The 16581-nt window shown below is 37.6% G+C and overlaps 3 pseudogenes; 1 reads left to right on the top strand and 2 right to left on the bottom strand.

Annotated features, from left to right (window-relative positions):
• Positions 296 to 2914, bottom strand: C2orf69P1 (chromosome 2 open reading frame 69 pseudogene 1; annotated as a pseudogene).
• AGGF1P7 (angiogenic factor with G-patch and FHA domains 1 pseudogene 7) lies at positions 6830 to 7967 on the bottom strand (annotated as a pseudogene).
• Positions 12063 to 12535, top strand: RARRES2P8 (retinoic acid receptor responder 2 pseudogene 8; annotated as a pseudogene).

The raw sequence follows: 16581 nt of genomic DNA, 5'->3' as shown, positions 1-16581 counted from the left end.
ATAGGCTTAGGGCAACAACTAAAGTCCTTGGTCTACTAATTATAAAAATGTCACAGAAGATTATGACACTCACATGTATTTTATAAAGCCTTGGGGTGTATAGAAAGTTACATAACAGGGCCCAGCAAACAGTGAGCTTGTGAATCTCATAAACACATGTAGCCAACAATTAAGATTGTCACCTTCATACATGGACAGAGTCCACTAGTGAGATTCTAAATCTCACACAAGGATGCAGTTCAGAGTTGAAATTGTGACTGTTTTATATGAGGATCTGGCCTCAGGCTGGATGATGTTTAAACTTCCCCTTGTAATTTTTCTTACAGCAATGTAATTTTCCATTTTGGCCAAGGACAATTTTTTTTTCAGACAAAGTTATGATTGTGGAGAAACATTGATTTAGACATATGGAATCTGTTTCCTTTTTCATAGAGCATGAACAAATACAACATTATACATTTATCTTACCTAAGTTGTTCTCTTTCAAAAACATTAATATAATAAAACATTGAAAATTGTCTCAATTTATCCAAAATACGTAAATATGCTTAATTTAAAAAACAGTTTTCCAAAACAACTGTCTTTTGCCAATATTCAAGAAGCCCCAGAATGTCTTACCCAAAACAATCAACAAAAGACTGTCAACTAAAAATTAAGCGATAGTGCTCAAGTGTAATTTGTTTTGTTTTCTTTGTTTTAGGGATGAGGCCTCATTATGTTGCTTAGGCTGGAGTGCAGTAGCTAGTCACAAACACAATCATGGTGCATTACAGCCTGGGCTCAAAGGGTCCTCCTGACTTAGCCTCCCGAGCCGTTGGGACTAAAGGGACATGTCACCACACCCGGCTATGTTTTTAAAAACCACTTTTACACTATTGCACATTTTTGGACACTGGGAACAAACAGATTTTGACTCTCAAGAAAAAAGTACTTCATGGCACATTAAACAATGAGTGAATGAGTTTACAAAACACAAGAGGCAGGGTAGTTATTCCAAAATGACAAGAAACAACATTGTGCCTTTGCTTTTGTTTGAAGAGAAATAAACTGTTTCCACTCAAGTTTTAAATGCCAAAATAGCTAATTACTGTTAAAATGTCACCAAAATTAGTAACATTACTCAGAAAATCAACTATCTCCAACAGAAACAATTTTAGTTACCTTTTACAAAAACTACGTTGTAACTTTCATTTCTAAAGGTCTTACATTTCCTGGGTATTATCATAAACCACCTTGTTAGATTTCAAATTAACTAATTCTAACCCAACCCAAATTAAAAATTGCTCACATTCCAAAGCAAGAAATACTATTGCAGGCCAGGCGTGGTGGCTCACGCCTGTAATCCCAGCACTTTGGGAGGCCGAGGTGGGCGGATCACCTGAGGTCGGGAGTTCAAGACCAGCCTGACCAACATGGAGAAACACCGTCTCCACTTAAAAAAAAAAAAAAAAAAAAAAAAAAAAAAAAAAAATTAGCCGGGCGTGGGGACACATGCCTGTAATCCCAGCTACTTGGGAGGCTGAGGCAGGAGAATCACTTGAACCCGGGAGGCAGAGGTTGCGGTGAGCTGAGACAGTGCCATTGAACTTCAGCCTGGGCAACAAGAGCGAGACTCAGCCTCAAAAAAAAAAAAAAAAATACTATCGCACATTACACTCATTTTTCAGGAATGTGTGCTTCCCTCCATACCCCCAAACTGACAATACATCTATGAAGTACATTCCATTATCTGAATTTATAACACTCAAAGTGCTTATGCTCTTCCGCTGAACAAGTACATTAATATACTTGTAGTCTCAAACACTTCATGAATTCTGAAAGGGATTCTCTATGTAGGGAGCTTCCTTCGTGAAATGAATTCAGCTACTCACCAGCATACCAATATCCCCAAGTATCTAAAAAATTTATTTTGCTCCTTTCCAATGCAAGATCTCATTAGATCACATACTTGGTAAAGTGTTCCATGGGTGTGAACAATAATTCTTGTTTGTGCAAATTCTTTCAAGACTTGTGGATAAGTAACTCCAGTATTCCTTCCTCCGGAATGAACACCATCCAGCCAATACATTGTACTTATGCTTTTAATGAAAGCATCTATGTTTTTGTCTTTCTTGGCTTCTTTCAATTCAAAGAAACTGATTCAAAACAACACATTTATTGAATCCAGTCAAAGGAAAAGATGCATCATTTAGTGATGGTGGATAAAAACACATGGCCGATCCATCAGATTTTTCAAAGGTCCTATCTTTTCCTTCCTGGAAATGATTTGTAGTATGAGAAGAATTGGACATCTACAATTAGATGCTGTGGAGTCCTTATTCCAATCATTCAAATTTTCCTTTGATAAACTACTCTGACTTAAAAGCATTAACTAATAACATATAAAGGTGCTTAAAAGCTCCAGAGTCTGTATTGTGTTCTGGGAAACCAAACATGTTACTTTTCAGAAAACTATCATGGCAGCGCATTTGTTCCGGAGCACTTCATCACCCCAATACAGCTACTGGGGAACCGGTGGGCTAAAATGGAGGCAATAATTTCTAGACTCCAATTTTCCCATTGGTAATTCGCAGGATGACGAGTCATGATTTCACGGTAATCCTGCACATCCCCGGGTAAAGAGAGGATGTGGCGGCTGCAGTTCCTACTCAGCCCGCTTCCTGGAGATGATCCGCCGCTCCAGTCCCTCCCTGGTCACCGCCAACAGGAGCAACTCTGCACTGCGCTGCGGGTCAGCTCCCGGCAGGGCGGGCACGGACGGCTCTGAGGAGGCGCCCGTTGGCGGAGGGGGAGCTTCGCGAACCGGCGCTGCCGCTAGGCTCATGGTTCTGTCCTGAGAGAAGGAAGAGGCATCTCCAGTTCCAACCTGTGGCAGCAGGAACAGCAACCACGGCGACCGCAAAACCTGAACTCCTTATTGGAAGGCGGAGAGTGGGGGGGGGGGTCCTCAGAAAGAGACTGCGCAGGACGGTAGCCGGCGCGAGGCATTAACGACAGAGACTGATGTCACCGCGCAGCGCCGGATTTTATTCTTTTTATTAATATTATTTTTTTCTTTTGAAACGGAACGTCTGTCGCCAGGCTGGAGTGCAGTGACGCGATCTTGGCTCACTGCAACCTCCGTCTCCCGGGTTCAAGCGATTCTCCTGCCTCAGTCTCCTGAGTAGCTGGGACTACAGGCGCGTGCCACCACGCCCAACTAATTGTATTTTTAGTAGAAAAGGGGTTTCACCATTTTGACCAAGATGGTCTCGATCTCTTGACCTCCTGATTTGCCCGCCTCGGCCTCCCAAAGGGCGGATTTTTTTTTTCCTATGGTTAAATCGTATTCCATTATGTGTATACACCATATTCGCTTTATCCATTTATCCCTGATGGACACAAGATTGATTCCATATCTTGGCTGTTGTCAATAGAGCTATGATAAACATGAGAGAGCAGCTATCTCTTCAATATACTAATTTTATTTCCTTTTGATATATACTCAATAATGGAATTGCTGGATTATATGGTAGTTCTATTTTTAGGTTTTTGTTTTTTGTTTGGAGAAACCTGCATAGTTTTCCATGCAGGTTTCTTATCAATAAATAAATGAATCTAAAAAGGTACTAAATTTACATTCACACCAACAGTGTATAAGTGTTCCCTTTTCTCCACATCCTCATCCAAACCTTGTTATCGTTTGTCTTCTTGATAATGGCCATTCTAAATGGGGTGAGGTACTATTTCATGTGGTTTTGGATTGCATTTTCCAGATGATTCGTGATGTTGAGCATTTCTTTGTGTCTTCTTTGGAAAAATGTCTATTCAGGTTTTTTGCTCACTCTTTAGTTGGGTTTTTGATTTTTATTGCTGTTGAGTTGAGTCATATATATATTTTGGATATTAACTCCCTGCCAGATGCACATATTTTTTTTCATTTTATATGTTGTCTTTTCATTCTATTAATAGATTTCTGTGCTGTCCAGAAGCTTTTAATATTTTACTGATATTAATTTTTCTGTTTTCTGACTTGATACAGAGGTAAGTGTTTTCCCTCAGCTTCACAGGTTAGCTGTCTTCTATCTCACTACTTTTAAGAGTTTTTCTTCGTTTTGATTTTATGCAATTCGATCATTATTATTTTTTAAGATTTATTTTATGTATAATTGACACATAATAATTGTACATATTTATGGGCTACAGTGTGATGTTTCAGTGCATGTTTACACTGTAAAATGACCCAATGAGGGTAATTTGCATATCTAGCAGTGTAAACATTTATAATTTATTTGTGCTATTAAAATTCAAAAACCTCTCTTCTAGCTGTGTTATAATAAATAGTACATTATATTAGCTATAGTCACCCTACTGTGTAATAGAACATCAGAATTTATTCTCCCTGACTGTAACTTTGTAACTTTGACAAACCTCTCCCCATTCCTTCATCCCATCACTCTCCCTAGCCTCTAGTAACCACCATTCTACTCTTTACTTCTATTAGATCTGCTTTTTTAGATTTTGCATATGAGTGACATCATGTGGTCTTTTTCTCTCTGTGATGGGCTTATTTCACTTAACATAATGTCCTCTAGGTTCATCCATGTTCACATAAATGACAGAAGTTCATTCTGTTCTATGACTGAGCATTATTCCTGTGTGTGTATGTGTGCCTGTGTGTATGTATAACATTTTCTTCATTCATCTGTAAATAGGCACTTATACACTGTTGGTGAGAATTTAAATTGGTACCACCATTAGGAAAAACAGCATGGAGGTTTTTCAAGAAGTTATAAATAAAACTACCATATATATGACCCAGCAATCTCACCACTGGGTATATATCAAAAGGAAATAAAATCAGTATGTCCAAAAGATAATTGCACTCCCATGTTTATTGAAGCAGTATTCACAATAACCAAAATCATTATTTATTTTAAGTATTTCTTAATTTATCTTTTCTGACACATCACACTCTAAACTTTTATAGGATTCATGCCTGGTTTCCAATTTCTGAAAATTATGAGTCACTGATTTTTTTGAATATTGCCCTCCTGTTTATATAGTATAGTAAAGCAATTAAATGTTTTTCATTTCTTCTCATCTAATTTTCATATATATTTGTATTTTGTATTAATTTGCCTTCTAAAAAGTATATTACTACATTAATTGTGCTCAGCATTCCAGTTTACTAGTCCTCTCACCATCTCAGTCTATTTCAATGTGTAATTTGTATGCTGTACATTAAGTTGTTTTACCAAATTTTCAAGTTTACTTTCCATTCGCCTCTTTTCCAAATATGACTTGACAAGCTCATAGTTTTTTCCACATTATTTCGGTTTCTTGTGTTTTCATTATATTGGCAAACATGTAATTATAATCCTCATATCTGAGTTTTATGTGCCATATAATTTAATGCTTCACTCTAATAGCTCTTCTCCTTGTGTGCAACATAATTTATAGTTTAGCTCTCACATATAGGAGACATCACACTCTGGATGCCTGCAGGCAGTTTCTCTTTGTTTATTCCATTTGCTTTGTCAGAAGCTGAACAACCCATGTGGATCTGATGTCCTTGTGATCAGATGCATCTGAATGGAGCACTGGCCTCTTAGGTCTATACTTCTCTGGATTATACCCTTTATTTACTTCTGGTCCTGAGAAGTTTTCATAATTTTCTTTCAACTATATTAGTCATTGTGTGAGTTCTTATAACTTCTTGGTGATTTTAGTTACCTGCATTAAGTTTTTAAAGCATGTTATTTTCCTGGAAAGCAGAAATATCAACTGTTGCATACATGAGTAAAATATTTTACCTAGATTTCATATGGCATATATCACTGCCTCGTGAGAAACTCTAAGATTCTTCACTTGAAATGCCGCTGTCTTCAATAGACCGTGTTGTAATAATTTGTAGAATGTGATTACTTTTATACCATTAGAAAATTAATTATGTATTATGCACAAATTTCTCAAATACTTTACTGCAGTAAATAGTATATGGTCAGAATTATTGTTTATTATTGTTTCCTTTAACATACAACTAATAAGGGTAAAAGTATTTACCTGAATTTACATTTTTTGGCTTCAGTTGCCATTTTACCTTATTAGCACTTCCCTAACTCCATAAAAGGTATCATTTGAATTTTTTAATTTAGAATTTATTGAAAAGAGTATTTTTAATGTTACAATGTTTTTATTGCAGTTGAAGACATTTTCATTAAATATCTTAAACATGAGGCCCTGGCTAAGTAATCCTTATGTACTAGAAATCAGATTTCTGTGGCACAACACCACTGCCTGCAATAATATTTATGAAAACTACAAATGCCAGCACACTATTTCAACACTGTACTCAGTTGTTCATATCTAAATATCACATTAGCTATGAAACAAACCAATATAAATACTGAAGATATAGTACTAATAAACGGATTCTTCAAAAAAGAAAACACTGACTAATTTTCTACAATATATCAGCTGTTCATTTGTTCTTCAATAATATTTAGGCTATTTCAAGTATAAGAGGTTCTTTTATCTAGTTTCTAAAGGGCATAAACAATGATGCATGTAGTCAGATTTATTTTTATAAACTTTTGTTGTTTCTTTTGCTGTGCACCTTACTGTGAATACATGGACACACAGACAAATGTACATTTAAGTCATTAGTGGTTATGAGTTTTGCTTATGTGGCTTTTTGCTTATATGGATGTCATAAATGACAAGATAAAATAAGGAAGTTTGATAAACTCATCTTTAAGCTGTAAACTTTAGTCCACTTACTGAATAACTTGAGTCAATATTTATTAGTTTAAAAAATGTTTTTTAAAATTTGCAAACCAAACTTTATTACACATTTCTGAATCAAGAAGGGGTAAACTGTGACACTGTTCCTCTGTGCCACAGACTCTTTTGGGGAGAAAAGTACTGCAAATATATAATAAAATAAGAGTTTCCAAACTCTATTTTTTGAAAAGCTTGAGTTTTCTTCTATGATTAACCTTCACTGTACAGTTCCTTTTATCCAAGGCCTGGTACCTAGGTCATCTTTTTAAGGTTTGGTTTCTGGGAAATTTTCAGCAAACCTCTCTCACGCTTTGTCCCAGGTTGTTTTTTGTTTCAGAGAAGCTGAACGTCTTCAATTGAGGATGGATTGCCTGTCCCCAAGCCTCCATATGTTCACTGAAGCTGAAGCTAAATCGGAGATTTCATTACCCACCATCCTTCCCCAGGCCGTCTCCTTTTTTCCAACCCATCTTCTCCAACATCTTCTGACATTTGTTACTGTCAGTAATTTCAGAATGAACAGATGCAGGAGCAACATCTCTCTAGAATGTTCCTTCACTTCCAATCTGCTCACTATGATTTCCAGCTCTATCTTTATATTTTAGATTATTCAGTGTCTATTCATGTTCATAATCTATATTCTGTAAACCCCATTTTAGTCATATTTTCTTTAATTGTTTACTTATTTCCAACTCATTTTCCTCTTTACTTAGTGGTAGACCAACAAAAGATTCATCTTTCTTATCAAAGCAAAAGTGAGTTCTAACCTGCCATGGTTCACAGCCATCACAGCTATCACTGCCAGGGTGAATGTGAAAGGGTGACACAGTCTCTCCAATTTTAAATTTATGTCTATGCTCACGTACATAAGGGTCTCATTTAGTTTTCAGCTGAACAATTCATTTTCCATGAACAGTTGTTCAATTTTGACTGCCTTGATCTAGAAGGACGTAACTTTGTAAATCATGGTCAAAATAAATTTCTGCATGAAACCTACTGACACCAACTTATGGGAATCAAAGGGTATGCCCTAGATCATTTTCTCTTCCAATTGTAGCGGGTTTCACAGCAGTAATGATAAACAGTGACCCTGTCTGCAGCATAAGCGATCTAATGACAATTATTCTAATATATGGGGGACATTTTTTTCCTCAATTTCCTCCTCAGTATGTTCTGCAGTTACATTGCCTTCACAGGCAATGTGAGGAGGGGCTGCGCTGGGGCCTTACAGACACCTGCGGAGCCAGAGGCCACCAGACTGCAGGCAGCCAAAGGCAGCCTCCTCCCTGCTGGCTGCTGTGGCTCCCACCTGGATGCCCTGATATGCATTGCCTGGAGCCAAACGGGTCTGTGGGCAACTAGTAAAGGGACTGCTGATGGCCCTCCCTGATCTGCACAGTCTGGGATGTGAAAAAACCCTGGGAAATACATACATACATATATATATAACATATAATATATATGTTATATATTATATATTATATATAATATATATTATATATAATATATATTTTATATATATTATATATATAATATATAATATATTTATATAATATATATAATATATAATATATATAATGTATTTTATATATATATATATATATATATTTTTTTTAAGGCAGAGTCTCACTCTGTTGCCCAGGCTGGAGTGCAGTGACGTGATCTCGGCTTACTGCAACCTCTGCCTCCCAGGTTCAAGCAATTCTCCTGCCTCAGCCTCTTGAGTAGCTGGGATTACAGGCGCAGGCTACCAGACCCAGCTAATTTTTCTATTTTTAGTAGAGACAGGGTTTCACTATGTTGGTCTAGCTGGACTTCAACCTCTGACCTCAAGTGATCCGCCCACCTTGGCCTCCCAAAATGCTGGGATTACAGGCGTGAGCCACTGCGCCCACCCACCCCTGGGAACTATCATATCTTCCCCAGTACAGGAACAGTGGGAGGAGCGTCAAAGTCAAGGGGCCAGAAGTGCTCCGGTTGTTCCCGGGTTGAGCCAGAAAGGGTGGCCAACAATTTTAAATAAAGTTTACATGTGGCTAGATGTGACCTGCTGACTACTGTTAATTTTTTTCCACATTTACACATTGAAAAGTGTATTTATTTAGGGTATACAATAGAGTGCTTTGAGATGTGTATACGTCTTTAAATTATCTCAGTGAAGCTGGTTAACCTATCTAACACCTCACATAGTTACTTTATACATTTCAGTGTGTGTAGTGAAACCACCTCAGGTCTACTTTAGTAACAGATTTCAACTACACGTTATTATTAACTATAGTCACCATTCTGCACATTAGGTCCCCAGCAGTTTTTCATTATATAACTGAAGGTATGCACCCTTCAATGGATATATCTCCTCCTTTCCCCATTTCCTAGCCCATGCAAACTACCCTTCTCCCGCTTTCTTTCTTTTTTTTAATATATCTACATACAAATGAGATCATGCAATATTTGCCTTTCTGTATTTTGCTGATCTCACTTAGCATCATGTCTTCAAGGTTCATCAATATTTTTGTAACTAAAACAATTTCATTCCTTATTAAAGCTGAAATTATCTCTGTCTTACAGTTTATCCATCTATTTGTATCAGAGGCATGCAAACGCCCTCGGCTATACTTAAATTTTATGTCCATTGGCTATATTCTCCAAATTGGGATTAATGGTTCTTCAAGTTTAAAAATTTTAAGGAAACTCCATACTGGATTTTTTTTTTGTAATGGCTGCACCAAAGGACATGCTCTGCAACTGTGTGCAAATATTGTCTTTTCTGTGCACCCTAACACTTTGTTCTTTTGACACTTTGATAATAGTTATCCTAACACCATGATACGGTGATTTCTCATTTTGATTTTGATTTTAATTACACTGATAATTAGTGATGTTGAGAAACTTTTCATATACCTGCTGGCCATTTGTATGTCTTTGGAAAAATGAATATTTTGCCCAATTAATCAGGGAATTGGTTTTTGTTTTGTTCTCCTGTGGATGCTTTTTTCATATTGATTAGTATTCTGTATATTTTGAATAGCAACATATTATCCTACATATGGTTTACGAAAATTTTCTCCCATCCCATATATTGTCTTTATATTTTCTTGATTCTTTCTTTTATCATGCAGAAACTTTGATATAGTTCCATTTTTTAAATTTTTGCTTTTGTTGCCTGTGTTCTTTGTGTAGAATCCAAAACATCATTGCCACGACCGGGGTGAAGGAGCTTTTTCCCTATTTTTTAAAGACGACTCGTGATTTCAGTTATTATGTTTAAGCCTTTAATTTTAAACTCATTTTTTGTGATGATATAAGAAAGTTTCACTTTTTGTGTGTGCATATCTAGTTTTTTCTAAACCACTTCTTGATGTCCCTATCTTTTCCTGGTTCTGTAGGACCAGTTGACTGCATATGGGTGAATTTATTTCTAGGTCCTCTATTCTGTTTCAGTGGTTCCTATGTAAGTTCTATACTACTTTAATGACTATAGCTTTGTAATACAGTTTGAAATCAGGAAGTTTGAGGCATTCAGCCTTTCTGTTCTTCACAGTATTTGCCTATTTGGGGTCTTTCATGGCTCTATACTAATTTTAGAATTGTTTGTTCTACACTTATTTTAAAGGCATTAAAATTTTGATAGAAATTTCTTTAACTTTGTTGATGACTTTGTCCAGTATAGATATTTTAACAATATTAATTTTTAGAATCCATGAACACAGGATATATTTCACATTTCGTATTCTTGTACTTCTTTCTTGCTTGCTTGCTTGCTTGCTTGCTTCTTTTTTTTTTTTTTTTTTTTTTTTTTTTTTTAGACGGAGTCTCGCTCGGTCACCCAGGCTGGAGTGCAATGGCGCCATCTCAGCTCACTGCAAGCTCCACCTCCCAGGTTCACGCAGTTCTCCTGCCTCAGCCTCCCGAGTAGCTGGGACTACAGGCGCGTGCCACCACGCCTGGCTAATTTTTTGTATTTTTAGTAGAGACGGGGTTTCATCGTTTTAGCCAGGATGGTCTCAATCTCCTGACCTCGTGATCCACCCACCTCGGCCTCCCAAAGTGCTGGGATTACAGGCGTGAGCCACCGCAACTGGCCTATTCTTCTACTTCTTTCATCAACATTTCATAGTGTTCAGTATGCAGATTTTTTTTTTTTTTTTTTTTTTTTTGAGATGGAATCTCACTATGTCATCCAGGCTGGAGTGCAGTGGCCCAATCTTGGCTCACTGAAACCTGTGCCTCCTGGGTTCAAGTGATTCTCCTGCCTCAGCCTCCTGAGTAGCTGAGATTACAGGAGATCACCACCACCGACTAATTTTTTTTTTATTTTTAGTAGAGACGGGGTTTCCCCATGTGGACAGCCTGGTCTCGAACTCCTGACCTCGTGATCCGCCCGCCTTGGTGTCCCAAAGTGCTGGGATTACACGGATGAGCCACCGCGCCCGACCCAGTATGCAGATCTTTAATTTTCTTGGTTAAACTCATTCTATTTAATGAATTAAGTATTTCATTCTATTTGATAATATTGTAAATGGAATTGTTTTCTTTATTCCTTTTTCAGATATTTTGTTGTTACTGTATACAAATGCAACTGATTTTCATGTTAATATTGTATCCTGCAACTTTCCAGAACTAGTTTGTTAGCTATAACACGCTTTCATTGTTGTTGTTGTTAAAATGGTGGGTATTCTTAACCCTGGTTACACTTTAAATTGATAGTTGCTATTATTAATTCATAATTCTTTAAAATATAACCAGATGGGTTTCTGCTTTTACGAATTCAGTGGAATTCAAATATTCCCATTTTAAATAATTTTGTTGGTTTTGCCTGGGCCCTGGGATTGGGGGGCACCCTACTGGAGCTGGGAGATTCAGGATGGAGATGGAGAAGCAGTCAGGGAAGAGGCTGAGCGCGAGAACCAGAGAGGGGCTCCGGGGACAGTAGGGAGGAGGGGTTGTCGTGTGGGAGACCCAGTGGGGAGAGAGAATGGGCCATAAAAGGGTTGAAGGGTGGGAGTGGGCAACAGGACTGCTTCCTGGCCCAGGCAGGGGGCAGGGAACTTTGCTAAACCTGCGGGCCCCAGGGAACAGTGTGGACAGGGCAGGAGGGAGTGGAGAGAACCAGGCGCACACCAAAGTCAATTTGGAGAAAGAGACATTTCCTGGCTCTTTGACCTCTGCCCAGAGTTCTGTGGGCATAGCCACCCAGGGGAAGAGCAGGGGAGGAGGCACCTCCCAGCGGGCTCAGAGAGCTGAGCGGTGCACAGGAGCTTCGCAGGGCCAGAGTGAGAGACCGCAGAAGCAAGCCACGGCTGCGGATGCTGCTGGCCCCGTGGGTGGGCGCGGGGGGCGCTGGGGAGGCAGGCGGGTCCGAGCTCCGGGGCCCAGCGCCGGGGCCTGCAGGTAGCCCTGGAGGAATGCACCCTCCCCGGCATGGGCCTTCCGGGAGAACGGTGTGGACGGCGCGGTGGATACGTCCTTCCCAGCTGGAACATTTGTGAAACTGGAATTTAAGCTCAGGCAGACAAGCGGCCGGCGGAAGGACTGGAAGAAACACGAGTGCGAAGTCCATCCCAAGGGAAGGAAGTGGAAATGCCTGGCCTGCGTCAAACTGGGCTCTGAGGAGAAGGTTTCGGGCCGGATGGGCCACTGTCCTATAGAGACTCAGGCTCGGCGGGACCCTGAGGAGCACCAGGAGACCCAGTGCAGCAGGGCGGAGCGGGAGGTGAGACCCCACAGCTACTACTTCCCTGCACGGTTCGCCTTCTTCAAGGCTCAGCCCCCAGCTAAGCCCAGCACTGAACTGCCTGGCGCCTCCTGGACCACTGCCGGGAGTGACCAGTGAAAGACCCCACCTCCCAGGGAGAGGACCCCACTATATCCCCAGCTAATAAAGCTGCTCATCCACCAATAATAAATAAATAAATGAATAAATAAATAAAAATAATTTTGTTTGGTCTTTGAAAAGTGTATTTTCTGTTTACTGGTCAACATGCTGCCTATTTATATGCCTAATTTGTCAAACTTTTAATGAAGTTGTTTAACATTATGATCCTTTATTATGTACAAAACAGTAAATTTTATAATGGTTTTAATGTCATCTAATATGATTGAAAAAAGTCAATTTCTCATTGCCAATGAATCTTCGTGTTATTTATTTTACACTGTTAGATATTCTGTCTACAAATGTCTAATGGCTTAGAATCTTGCATATTGTCTGCGCTAAGAACTACTCTAACTCATCAAAGTGTCTTTTTATACCATTCTTATATTGCAATATTATTGGCCAGGTGTGATGGCTCATGCCTGTAATCCCAGGACTTTGGGAGGCTGAGTCAGATGGATCACCTGAGGTCAGGAGTTTAAGACCAGCCTGGCCAACATGGTGAAACACTGTCTTTACTATAAACACAAAAATTAGCTGGGTATGGTGGGGGGCGCCTGTAATCCCAGCTACTCGGGAGGCTGAGGCAGGCGGAGAATCACTTTAACCCGGGAGGCAGAGTTTCCAGTGAGCTGAAATCATGCCACTGCACTCCAGCCTGGGTGACAGAGTGAGACCCTGACCCCATATATATATATTTTATATATATAAATATATATAATATATAATATATTTTATATTATATATATTTTATATAATATATTATATATATAATATATAATATATATTTATATATATAAAATATTGATATATATTTATATATATAAAATATTGATATATATTTTATATATACAAATATTGATATATAAAAATATTGATATATATTTACAATATATAAATTATGTAAAATATATATAATATACATTTTTTATTTATTTTTATTAAAATTATTTTTCTGCCTAAGTATTTATGAAAAGTAGAAGGTCTATTCATTCTGCTCTCTTGATAAAAGTCAGTTTTTTTCTCTTTATTAATATGTTAGTACAAATGAAGTTTCATGACAGGGACATATTGCAGAGTGATGAAGTATGTGCTTTCGGTGTAACAATCACCTGAACGGTGCTCATGTCCCAGTTAGGTGTTTTTCTCATTTCTAACCCCTCTACCAACCTCCTATCTTTCTGAGTCTCCAGTGTCTATTTTTCCAGTCTCTATATCCAAGTGTATGCATTATTGAGCTTCCATATATAGGTAAGAAAATGCAGTATTTGATTTTCTGTTTCTGAGTTATTTCACCTACAATAATGGCCTCCAGTTCCATTCATGGTGCTGCAAAAGACATAATTTTATTCTTTATGTCTGAGTAGTTTTCCATGGTATAAATGTATAGCAAATTTTGTTTATTCAATCATTGATAGATAAATTTAAATTGACTCCATATCTTTGCTATTGTGAATAATCCTGCAATAAACATATGAGTGTGGGTATCTTCTTTATGTAGTGAATTATTTTCCTTTGGGTAGATACGCAGTAGTGGGATAGCTGGATCAAATGGAAGTTCTATTTTTTAGTTTTTTGAGAAATCTCCATACTGTTTCCCATAGAGGCTGTAGAAAGTTACATTCCCACAAACAATGTATAAGTATTCTCTTTTCTCGGTATCCTTACCAATATCTATCATTTTTCTGCTTTTTAATAATTAGCCATTATGAATGGTGTAAAATGGTATTTCACTGTCGTTTTTAATTGGCATTTCTCTGATCATTGGCAATGTTGAGCATTTTTTACATGCTTATTGGCCATCATTGTCTTCTTTTGAAAAATATCTTTTCCCGTTATGTGCCTGCTTTTTAATGAAGTTTCTTGTTTTATTCTTGTTGAGATGTTTGATTTCTTTATATATTCTAGACATTAGTTCTTTGTCACATGCATAGTTGGCAAACATTTTTTTTGTATTCCATAGCTTGTCTGCTCACCTATTAAATAAAAGCTTCTTTTCAGGAGCTTTTCAGTTTAATTAAGTTCCATTTGTCTATTTTTGTTATTGTTGCATCTACTTTTGAGATCTTAGTCATGAATTATTTGTCTAGGCCAATGTCCAGAATAGTTTATCATAGGGTTTCTTCTAGAATTTTTATCTTTTCAGGTCTTACATTTTAGCCTTTTAATCCATATTGAGTTGATTTTTGTATATGGTGAGAGTTAGGGGTTCCATTTCATACTTCTGCATATAGTAACGTAATTTTTCCAGCACAATATGTTGAATAAAATGTCATTTTTCTGTGTGTGTTTTTGTTGACTTTGGAAAAGATCAGTTGTGTGTAGGTATATGGCTTTATTTCTAGGTTCTCTATACTGCTCCATTGATCTGTGCATCTGTTTACATCATTACCATGCTGTTTTGGTTATTAAAGCCTTCTAGAATAATTTTAAGTCACGTAATGTAATATGTCCAACTTCGTTGTCTTTGATCAAATTTGCTTTGGCTATTGAGGCTTTTCTATGGTTCCATATAAATATAATTTTTTTCTAATTCTATAAAAACTAACATTAGAATTTTTGTAGGAATTACACTTAATATGTAGACTGTTGGGGCAGTATGGTCATTTTAATGATAATACTTCTTCCAATCAATGAACATGTGATGTTTTTCTCATTTGTTTGTGTCATATACAATTTATTTCATCAGAGTTTTGTAGTTTTCCTTGTAGAGATCTTTCACCTACTTAAGTAATTATATTTCTATGTGTTTTACTTTTTTGTAGCTATTGTAAAAAAAACTGACCTTTTAATTTGGTTCTCAGCTTGATCATTATTAGTGTATGAAAATGCTACTACTTTTTCTACATTGATTTTTGTATCCTGAAACATTATTAAATTTATTTATCAAATCTAAAAGTTTTTGGTGGTCTTTAGATTTTTCTAGATATAATATTATGTAATCAACAAAGAGGGACAATTTGACTTCCTAATTAAAACTATATGTATGAGCCCACCAAGCTCAACAGACAGAACCTGTGGGGAGAGCACAGGTGATGGTATTTCTTTAAAGTGGTCATGTGATTATGATTGGACACCTAGGCTGAGAGCCACTTAGCAAAGAATTGCCTCTCAAGTTTCAATGTACATATAAATCATTTCTGATTCCAGGCCTCTGTCTTAGTAATGTGATTCTGCAAGTTTGGAAGGGGTCCATGAATTGGCTTCTTAAAGTCTCCCCTTAAGGGGAGACTGTTGATTCTCCCACTATATCCACTGTAGTAGCACTCAGAGAAAGTAGGAACAGCACAGAGAGTTCCTGACACCCAACACTCTTACCACAACACAAACCCTTTTGGCCCAAAGTGGAAACCACCAATCACTATATACAAACATGTTATTCTCTGCTGGCTCTTTAAAGGTTATAGAGCCTAGAGAAGGCATCAATGGTTGAGTAAGTCTGCATTTGAAAAACATGTATCCATGAGTTAATACAATGTTTACTGAGTGTGTACTATGTGTTCAGAAGTCTGTTACACAGCACTGTGCTGCAAACATCACCTGATGTGAGTGAATCCTCAACCCTGGTAGTTGGCTGCTAAGTGTTCTGTAATTCCTAGGCTTTAAATGAAGGGCCCAGCATTTCTATTTTTCTTTCATTTTTAAAATTACTTACCTTAAAAAGAAAATGTGTAGAATAAAATCTATATAGACAGATGGAAGGGATACAGAAAGGGTGAACTGTTCAGAGGGATTTTTGGTATTTATATTGACTTTCTTGTGCTTTGTAGAGCATCTACCGGATCGGCAGAAAAACAGTTTGCTAGGTGGGATGTCTCTACAAGCACTGGCTTCAATGAAAAAGAAATTGTGACCCACAAATAGATAATCATTTGCTCCCATTTATCTGCTTTTTATTTTCAGGAAATTGTGGGCATCAGCTAAGGAGAGGCAGGAGGAGCCAC

This window comes from Homo sapiens, chromosome 16 (genome assembly GCF_000001405.40).
Source record: "Homo sapiens chromosome 16, GRCh38.p14 Primary Assembly".
Taxonomy (NCBI): domain Eukaryota; kingdom Metazoa; phylum Chordata; class Mammalia; order Primates; family Hominidae; genus Homo; species Homo sapiens.
Note: the sequence above shows the minus strand (reverse complement) of the source record. Positions and strands in the feature narration are given on the sequence as shown.